At 36.6% G+C, this 10,920-nt stretch overlaps 1 annotated feature.

Annotated features, from left to right (window-relative positions):
* Positions 1,005–1,205: a silencer, noted in NCBI's record as "peak4384 fragment used in MPRA reporter construct". NCBI's record gives its function as "represses an SCP1 promoter by STARR-seq MPRAs in K562 erythroleukemia cells {active_cell/tissue: K562}" and the evidence as "EXISTENCE:reporter gene assay evidence [ECO:0000049][PMID:32103011]".

The following is a 10,920-nucleotide window of genomic DNA, read 5'->3' on the forward strand; positions in this document are numbered from 1 at the left end:
ATCTGGGAGACATAGCCCAGGATCCTGACAGTTCCCATCTTGGATGCTGACTCTAGAATCCTAGTTCCAGACACCACTGAACATCCCTTGCAGGCATTTTAGAAAGTGACCAGAAAACTAGAAGATCTGGTGTGGCTGCTAAGACATTCACATCCAAGGGAATCAGCAAACGCTTTATATTAACATGTGTGGCTTTTATTTATTTATTTATTTTTTGAGATGGAGTCTCGCTCTGTCGCCAGGCTGGAGTGCAGTGGCATGATCTCAACTCACTGCAACCTCTGCCTCCTGGGTAAAAGCAATTCTCCTGCCTCAGCCTCCTGAGTAGCTGGGACTACAGGAGCGTGCCACCAAGCCCAGCTACTTTTTGTATTTTCAGTAGAGACGGGGTTTCACCATGTTGGCCAGGATGGTCTCGATATCTTGACCTCATGATCCTCCCGCCTAAGCCTCCCAAAGTGCTGGGATTACAGGCACGTGTGTGTGTTTTTTAAAGATTGTAAAGATGTGAATGAGTTTTCATTTATCATTTTTGAATATACAGGAAAAGTAAATGAATTTATGCTGTGCATTGTCAAAGGAGAATTCTCATAAAAACACAAAACCTTTTCACAATCCTAATGAAAGAACATTAAGTCTGATTCCATCATTTTACCACAAAGAAGACAGAAAATTTCCAAAGTCCTACTGTTAGTAGATATTCTAGCTGACTCAGTTCAGTGTTGCTATGATTAAACAAGAGTGAGTTCCCTAAAAGTAAATGTTATAAGAAATCTTAAGTATTATTTTCTTATGTTTCTAGCCTAATAAAGTGCTTTTATTAAAGCACTTTATTTAAAGGCATTATTGATATTTCATTATGTTCAACAGATGGAGTTAATGTGAATGTTTACTCTTCAGATATCTTTTCATTTAATATACAAAGATATAGAAAACAGAAGAGAATTGTGGGAAAAAATGTATATTACAAATGAAATTTGAGTTGGCTTACAAGGAAAGCATAGATAAGACCTATACTCGCAGGAGAGGTTAAGTCAAAACCACACAATAAAAGGCAGTTGTAGAGAAATGGGCAGTGATACTAGGATCACTTAGCTAAGCAAAGCAGTAACGGATGAGTAGAGAACTAGTCTGAATGTGCCTGCAATCACAGTACTAGAAAAAATCAAGTCAGTTGAATGGTATATATTTTGTGCAAGGTACAACAGCTTGATGAAAGCAGCATTTTTTTTTTTAACAACATTGGAGTTAGTCACCAAAAATATTGATCAAAGTAACAATATTGTCATTAACAACACTTGGTCTGAGAAGCTTATGAATTTTTTTGAATTTTACAAAAAACAATCAGCATGTAGCTTTTTCATAAATTGTCCTTTAATGAAATACTGATATGATGGTGTCATGAGGTAGGATCATGAAGGGAATTGTTAGTTGTTCACTACTGTGATCAAATGACAAGGATCAAGTATCTTTCTCGGATCACTACTTTCAAATTGAATGTTGCTTCAGTTGGTGTTCTGAGAAAAGTAATTGACATGGTTATTAGAACTAAACTTTCCAGGTGGGTGGGCTGGACTTACATAGACATCAGAGGGAATGCCTGAAGGGAAAGAAGACTTTCCTCAGAAAGCAGTTGTTGATGAGCTCCCAGCTCACATCCTTGCTTAAACTCTGGGTAACATAAATAAAAGGCTACAGCTTAGAGTACGGAAGAGCTTCTTTTGTCATTTTGCAGAATAATGAATCTCAATTAGTCACTGAGGTGGAAGACCATAACAGTTCAAGTGATGATTGTTCATTTGTTTTAATAAAAGGCTGGACACTTTATGGCCAAATCTGATATTCTTGACTTCATAGGCATTTGTGCCATTAGTGGTGGCCCTTGTTGGAACCTGATTGACACTAGTTTTTATTAGGTCCTGAGGACTGAGAATAAATGGAGCTTCATCAGTCACTCTGCACTTGCTAATTCTGTGGGAATATGTCAGCCAACTTTGAGAAAACCTGGTTAATTGTTAGAGACTTTCTGTTGAAAAATGATTTCAGTTGGTTACAGCTAGAGATAATATTCACTGAGAACAGTCACTGAACCTGGATTTGGGTAGAGGATCTTGAAAAGTTAAAAGAAGAAATTTCTTATTAAAAAAGATTATCTTCAACTAATAAGATTGTATTTTATTTTATTTTATTTTATTTTATTTTTGAGCTGGAACCTCGCTCTGTCGCCCAGGCTGGAGTGCAGTGGAGAACTCGGCTCATTGCGAGCTCCATCTCCTGGGTTCATGCCATTCTCCTGCCTCAGCCTCCAGAGTAGCTGGGACTACAGGTGCCCGCCACCACACCTGGCTAATTTTTTTGTATTTTTAGTAGAGACAGGGTTTCACTATGTTAGCCAGGATGGTCTCGATCTCCTGATCTCATGATCTGCCTGCCTCAGCCTCCCAAAGTGCTGGGATTACAGGCGTAAGCCACCATGCCCAGCCCAAAAGATTGTAAATTGTTCTTCCGACTATAAAGTTTACTAGTCAGCAATAAATGAATTAGATTTCTTTTTCTTTGATGAAGTGACTCAGTATTTTTACATATGCTCCAAATAAAAAATTCAGAAAGTAGTGTAAATAATCTTTCAGAAAGAAGGCTTTTCAAAAGCAAAGATACTACAATGAAAGTAGTATTGGCAATAGTGCTCTGCTTTCACAGATTTCTGTGTAGGAATATTTTCAATCAAGTAATATTTTTATGAGCTCCTTTCAAGTATTCATCAATTTAAACTAAATCCTAACTAGATTAGAAAATGCAGTGTATTTTAAAGTTATTCTCAATTCTGCAATCTTTGCTTGAGATTCTGTTAATTTTTTTAAACTTCTGAGTTTTACATAGAGTAGTAAATATATCCTGGCTATATTATACCATTAAAATTGTAATATTGGAGTATAAAAATTAAAATCCTTGGGATCAGACACTAAATTTCATAATAAAATATCCTTCCTAGTAGCAATGTGTAATAAGAAAGCATTTTTAACCTAGAGAGATTGTTTCCCAGTGTTGTTATCTTCTTCATTTTGGAAGGAAACCATATCAGCACAAAACATAATTCAATGCTCAGTTTATTGAAAGTTATTTTATTTAAATTAAATATATGTGTAATAATTAATGATTAGCAAATTAAATGATCATTAAAATAAAATTTTAATCTATTTTATTTTGAATGATATGAAACATGCTCCTTACTTAATGTTAAGTGAAGAAAAGAGAGTACAGAATGACATTTTAACCATAGCCAACCGTGGGAATAGATAGAATTGTTCTTTTCTCCTTTCTTTTTTCTATCTCTTCTAATTCTACCTTAATGAACTTAATGGCTTAGTAGGTGTAAAATGATGATCTTGTGTTTGTTATAGTAAAAGTAAAAACCTATCAATGTACTTTTTAAAAAGCATCCTATGTTTATGAATATAGTCTCATTCCAACTGGGTCTCACATATATTCACATATTTCATTTTAGAAATTGTTCCCACATCTTCTGAAAATTAGAGATTGTGATTTATATGAGGTTAGACAGGCAAAGCAGCTATGTATAATTCAATATATTGTTTACCTTACAAGAGCACCCTGCCCTTCATCCACCTGTGAAACCACAGGTTTGCATCTACCCAGGGAGATGAAGGGGAGAAGTGATTTTTGATAATTTGTACAAAGGCACAGTATAAACTGGTGGGAGCCTTGTAAACAAATATTTTCTCTATATTAATATACACTTCTTTTTTTTTTTTTTTGAGACAGAGTCTTGCTCTGTCTCCAGGATGGAGTGCAGTGATGCAATCTCAGCTCACTGCAACCTCTGCCTCCTGGGTTCAAATGACTCTCCTGCCTCAGCCTCCTGAGTAGCTGAGACTACAGGTGTGTGCCACCACACCCAGCTAATTTTTGTATTTCTAGTAGAGACAGGGTTTCACCATGTTGGCCAGGATGGTCTTGATCTCTTGACGTCATGATCTGCCCACTTTGGGCTCCCAAAGTACTGGAATTACAGGCGTGAGCCACCGCGCCTGGCTGATTTGCATTTCTTTCATGACCAGTGATGATGAGTTTAGAATGGCAATCATTAAAAAGTCAGGAAACAACAGATGCTAGAGAGGATGTGGAGAAATAGGAATGCTTTTACACCGTTGGTGGGAGTGTAAATTAGTTCAACCATTGTAGAAGACAGTGTGGCAAATCCTCGAGGATCTAGAACCAGAAATACCATTTGACCCAGCAATCCCATTACTGGGTATATACCCAAAGAATTATAAATCATTCTACTACAAAGACACATGCACACATATGTTTACTGCAGCATTATTCACAATACCAAAGACTTGGAACCAACCCAAATGCCCATCAATGATAGGCTAGATAAAGAAAATGTGACACATATACACCATGGAATGCTATGCATCCATAAAAAAGGATGCATTCATGTCCTTTGCAGGGACATGGATGAAGCTGGAAACCATCATTCACAGGAAACTAACACAGGAACAGAAAACCAAATAGCACATGTTCTCACTCATAAGTGGAAGTTGAACAACGAGAACACATGGTCACAGGGAAGGGAACATCACACACCGGGGCCTGTCGGAGGGTGGGGGGCAAGGAGAGGGTGAGCATTAGGAGAAATACCTAATGTAGATGAGGGCTTGATGGGTGCAGGAAACCACCATGGCACGTGTATACCTATGTAACAAACCTGCACATTCTGCACATGTATCCCAGAACTTAAAGTATAATGAAAAAAAAATTAAAGTAAAAAAATAAAATATTGAAAAATAAAAAAAGATACATTTGCAGGATGACACTTGTCAAAGTGTACACATTTTCCAGTTAATACCTGCAAAATGCTAAAAATATAATCCTTTAAATGTGAATTTAAGATGTGGAAGTGTTGGGTACAAGTAAAGTTGAATCTGCCTTCACCTCTCACACTCACCTGCATCAGAAGGACTACATCTTCCAACTAAAAAGAAAGGATATATTTCTGATCTCTGTTGAGCTGCTATTTAAATTCATTTTCTGGGAGGTATGTTTTTGAAGGTGATTTTTAATGTCATGTACAGAGGGTAGAGAAAAGTATTAGAGTCATCCAATTTACAAGGATGGATTTGATGAGAATTGTGTTTATAATAAGGATTATGTTAAGCACATCACATGCATCCTACTACTGTTCTAATATTTCTAAGTCATTTTTATACTTATTACCAACATGTTTTCTTAATATTTTCAAATCAACGTAGTTGAAACGCTGAGGATGGTAAGCATTTGCCCACATGCTTATTTCCAATTTGTCTGGCTCATCCCATCTTTCTTTTCAGAATTTTCGATTATTATAGACATCACACAAAATGTGAAGATAGTGCCCCACAGTGTATTGTACTCTGTGCTTGCTAACACACAATATCTACAGAAGGTATAAATAAAAATTGATTAGGAAGGGTTTTACCTGCCATCTGGAAGTCCACTATCAGGCTTCAATGAATAGCTTTTAACACTTACAGACTCTAATATCCTGGCTCTTTATGATAATATTCTAAGGGCAAATATAGTTCATAGTTTCTTTTTTTCCCTTTTAGTCTATTAACCTATTACAGTTTTGATTTCAATTACCTTGTAATGCATATAAAAATAAATTACAGAGAGAAAATATTACAGAGAGGTTTAACAAGTTAATGGTAAATTAAATTCATACTCTTCTTCATTATGCAAATTTGCAAGCTGCGGAACATTTAGCACTCTCTCCTGGATAGCACTCAACATTTTACATGCAGATAAGTCAGCAGCTCTAATGAACTTTTGCCTTTCCCACGCATTAATTCAAGAAATACATACTGAAGTTTTTCCAATTGCTTTACAAACTATAGGTAGGGTAAAAGCCAGCTCACTACTTCATACAGAGCATTAATTTCTAGTCATGTGAGTTAGAGTGTTCCTTCTGAAAAAAGATTATTGTGATGAGAAAAGAAATGCTAGTGTTAATTTAAAATTAAAATTTTTGAATGCACTCACTTATTTCTCATTAGAGATTATAAGATCATTGAGCAAACACACACATTTTCTTGTCATAATTAATAGATATTACTTTCTTATCTTGCAATAGTTTCCACTTATATACTTTAATTCTGGTAGTATCAAAACATAATAAATTAGTTTCTATTTATTAACACTGAAATTTTCCAAGCAACAATTGTTTTTTCAAACTAACAATCTAAATCTTATTCTAAATCTACTTTTTCTCAAATTGGCTTATAGGTTGAGATGCAGAATCATCTTATACTTCTATCAATTTGAAAAATGTTGGTTCTAAATTGCCTTAACGAAGATAACCTTAACATTTTCTGTATAACTTCAATTAATTTCTTAAAGTTTAATCTCAAAGTCTTCGAAGGACATTCAAGCAACTTGAAAGTATAATAAAGGTTAGTATATTCAGAGGTAAAAGTAGAGCAGAAAGAACATTTTTTTTCATGGATATTGTAAAAGAAAAATTAAACAGGGAAAAATGAATGAAAGAGAAAGAAAGAGGGAGGGGGGAACAGGAAGGGAGGAAGGAAAAGGAAAGAGGGAAAAAGGGAAATGAAGGAGTGAAGGAAGAAAGGGCAGAAGAAAGGATAGAAGAGAGGGAGGAAGGAAAAGGAAAGAGGGAAAAAGGGAAATGAAGCAGTGAAGGAAGAAAGGGCAGAAGAAAGGATAGAAGAGAGGGAGGAAGGCAAGCTCTTTCAAAGTTACTTTTAGTTTTTAAAAAGTAAAACGGATAAATGTAAATGAAGATAGTTATAGTTACAGATATAGATATAGATGTAATTTTAGCTAGAGGATCAGTTACTCTAGGTTCAGAAAAAAACAAAACAACAACAAAATAACATGAAAAAAACCCCTGCTTTTTCTATTGCATACTTTTACTCCCATGGAGTAAAAACTGATTTTTACCATTATCTCTCAATAAGATTACCCTCATATCCTTAGTCAATACAACTCCATTTTGGCAAAATATACATACTTATACTACCTTTCCTGATGTTTGCAGATCTTTAGAGCTACCCAAATGAATACTAGTTGTAGTTCTATATATCATTTTTGATTTTGATTACCTACCAAAACTATATCACATTCCACTTGATAAGGTAGACATAGTAGAAGATGGGCCTAACTATTTGAATGTACAGCCAACATTTGTTTGAAAATTAACTTTACTTTGTCTAAAACACACCAAAAAATTGTGGTTCTCCAAATTTTAAGCCAAAAAGTACAGTTTAAAAGCTAATGGCCATAATTATCAATTTTTGGCCAAAATTATCAGTTGAGTTATATGGGTTCTCTAAGTAATTCTCTGAGAATGATTAGTTTTGGAACCGATTTTTTTTTCCTGACATTAAAAAGCTCATGCTAGAACATACTTCCATGGAATTATTAGCCATTCTATATGGAGTTTTTAGGCTTTAAAAGTGTTTATAAAACAGAATATATATATCCTCTAATCTCAAGTGTCCTTTGATTCTAATTGTTAAGAATTCTGAAGGCGTCACAGGGCATGGTAGCTCACACCTGTAATCCCAACACTTTTGGAGACTGAGGCGGACGGAGCACTTTAGGCCAGGAGTTTGAGACCAGTCTGGCCAACATGGTGTAGCCCCCTTCTACTAAAAGTACAAAAATTACCTGGTTGTGGTGGCGCACTCCTGTAATTCCAGCTTCTCGGGAGGATGAGGCATGAAAATCACTTGAACCCAGGAGGCAGAGATTGCAGTGGGCCGAGATTGCATCACTGCACTCCAGCATGGGAGACAGAGTGAGATTCTGTCTCAAAAAAAAAAAAAGAAAGAAATTCTGAAGGCTCTAACTAACCTACTTTCAAACTCAGTTAGCCTGCGACACTGCTACAGTTTCATGGAAGCTGACAGAAGACATGAGATTCCTGGCTCTGGTTTTATTATTCACAGCAAAAGAAGTAACTAAAGTGAAAGCATATTCACGTCCATTCTGAGACCCAGTTCCCACAAAGAGAATGAAGTTCAGCCTAGACATTTACACACACAGTGGGCTGTGTCACAGGAAGAAACATTTATCTTAGGGAATCTGCCACTTTGCAGCATTGGGTAAGTAAGCCTCTTTGTCAGAGAAGGAGAAGATGTTACTTCACCCTCAAGATTGCTCACTGCAAACACAACCTTGGAAGTGTCCCAGGTAGAGTGGTCAGAGACTTACCTTTAATTCTCCAAATTAAAAGAAAAACTTATATTGTCGACTCTGCTACAAAATGTAAAGTATATAACATTATTCTAACATGAAAGTATCTTGCTGTTTCTTCTGACACGGAGACCAGAAGTAGATGAAGACCAAATAGAAAGTAAGAGAGAGAGGTAGACTGAGAATGATCACACTTGCTATAATAAGGCAACCATTAGTGGAAATCTCTAGGGATTCTGGAGATCCATCTAAAAGGAGAACGAATACTGTCCAAGAGTGATGGCAACAATTGTGTTCTAATACTTTTTATGGAAGTATTCCAAAGTACCATGAATTATTTATTACATGCTAGCTACCTAATTATAGTTAATTCTGATGTTTCTTTTTTCAAAATCTGTATGAAAAATATATTGATGTCAGTTTTCAGTTCTTAATATGGTGAACAAAACTAGAAGGAAAATAAAATAGTTTTTCAAAGTTGCTTATTTGGAAATCTATAGCTCAAGCTGGGATTGAGTTTAGCACTTAGAAAGATACACCTGCATTTTTGTATTATAGCACAAGAGTTGCTGTGTGGGTTGGAAGCTGGCAGAGCTGAATGCTTAGGCATGTCTACAATTAAGGGCAGTAAGCTCTTTTACTGCCTGGCTTTTTGGACACTGTGTATAATGATGCACGTTTAAGCCAATTTTCAAGTCAGGTATTCATACTTGTTTACGTGATGCTCTTCACACAGAAAACTAACAACTTTATTGCCTTTCTTCATTGACCTACTTTTTTTCCTCCCATTTATCCGCCTGAATGAATTGAAAAACAGGTAGAAGAGGCATACATCTCTGAAAACAAAGGACTTGTGTTTCATCTTAAGTGTTATATTGTTTATAGAATGCAGACAATAATTTAACCTCTTTCCAGTAGCACCAACCTAACTTGCCCCCAGGACATGAAACATTGAAGCACAAGATGAAATTGTATTATTGTGGAACCACTCATGACTGAATAAGCCTGCAAGCCCCTGCATTCACTCCACTGCTTTATTTTGATGCTTTGTTATGAGCTTTGAAGTGGAAAAGAAAATGAGCTCTTTGAAAAATACAAGAAACTGAATGTCATTAACCTCGTCACTTTATGAAATAAATTCCCTTCCTTCCATCCTCCTTTCCTTTCCTCATTCCTTCTTTCCTTTGTTCTTTCTTAAATGAAGGTAAAATAAAAACTTAAATGCCGGAAGAAAAACAACCTTTATTTATTAAGCCTAATAAGACGCAAATTCACATGTGTACCTCACTTAATTCTCAAGCTGACTGTATCTGATTCATCCTTATCCTTATTTCTTAAAGCTGAGGAAAGCCAAGCTCAGAGATATTTTGTAACTTGCCAAAGTGACACAGTTTTGTGCAAACGAAGGTCATCCTAACTCCATGTAAAACATAGGACTGTATGGGGTCCAGACGCAGTGGCTCACGCCTGTAATCCCAGCACTTTGGAAGGCCAAGGCAGGTGGATCATGAGGTCAGGAGATCGAGACCATCCTGGCTAACACGGTTAAACCCCGTCTCCACTGAAAATACAAAAAAAATTAGCCAGGCGTGGTGGCAGGTGCCTGTAGTCCCAGCTACTCAGGAGGCTGAGGCAGGAGAATGGCGTGAACCCCGGGAGGCAGAGCTTGTAGTGAGCCGAGATCGCGCCACTGCACTCCAGCCTGGGCGACAGAGCAAGACTCCTTCTCAAAAAACAAACAAACAAACAAACAAAAAAACCATCGGATAGTATGATGTGATGCTAAAAATACCTAAGGAAGAAAAAGAAACAATAGTTTCTATTTAACAGGATAATTTGAATTTATCACATTTATTTTCATATCATTCTGACGGGAGTCACTGTAAGATTTCTACTCAACTCCAACTTCTTTGTGATATAAATTTCACTTATTCTCAAATAAATTAGTTTATCGTACAGCTGCACATTTTTTTTTAAATTTTTGTTTCAACCTTTCCTGCTACTTCCTTGAAATATTCTCCCGCAGTGGAATTAAAGGGAGAAATCATTTATAAACACGCATACAAACACACACACAAAATGCCAGAAGAAAGAATGCCTTCCTTGGCATACTCTTTAACAGTTTAACTTTTTCCTGGTTAGAACATACAATTACCCGTAATTTTGGCAATTATGCATTAATATAGAAAATACATAAGGGACAACATAAAGATATAGGATGATTGTTTTTCTCCTCTTCCAGTGTTTCTAGGAATTATTTTTAAAAATTAATATATTAACTTATGGCATATTAGGGTTATTGACAAATTACTGTTACATTTAGATATAATGCTTCTACAAAGAAGACAATGATAAAAATTATCCAGGGTAAACATAAAACGTTCCTTCTTATCGGGCAGGGAGCGATGGCTTACGCCTGTAATCCCAGCAGTTTGGGAGGCCGAGGCTGGCAGTTTGCCTGAGCTCAGGAGTTTGCGACCAGCCTGGGCAACACGGTGAAACCCCGTCTCTACTAAAATACAAAAATTAGCCGGGCGTGGTGGCGGGCGCCTGTAGTCCCAGCTACTCGGGAGGCTGGGGCAGGGGAATTGCTTGAACCCAGGAGGCGGAGCTTGCAGTGAGCCGAGATCGTGCCACTGCACTACAGCCTGGGCGACAGAGCGAGACTCCGTTTCAAACAAAACAAAACAAAAACAA

This window comes from Homo sapiens, chromosome 21, assembly GCF_000001405.40.
Source record: "Homo sapiens chromosome 21, GRCh38.p14 Primary Assembly".
NCBI classification, from domain to species: Eukaryota; Metazoa; Chordata; class Mammalia; order Primates; family Hominidae; genus Homo; species Homo sapiens.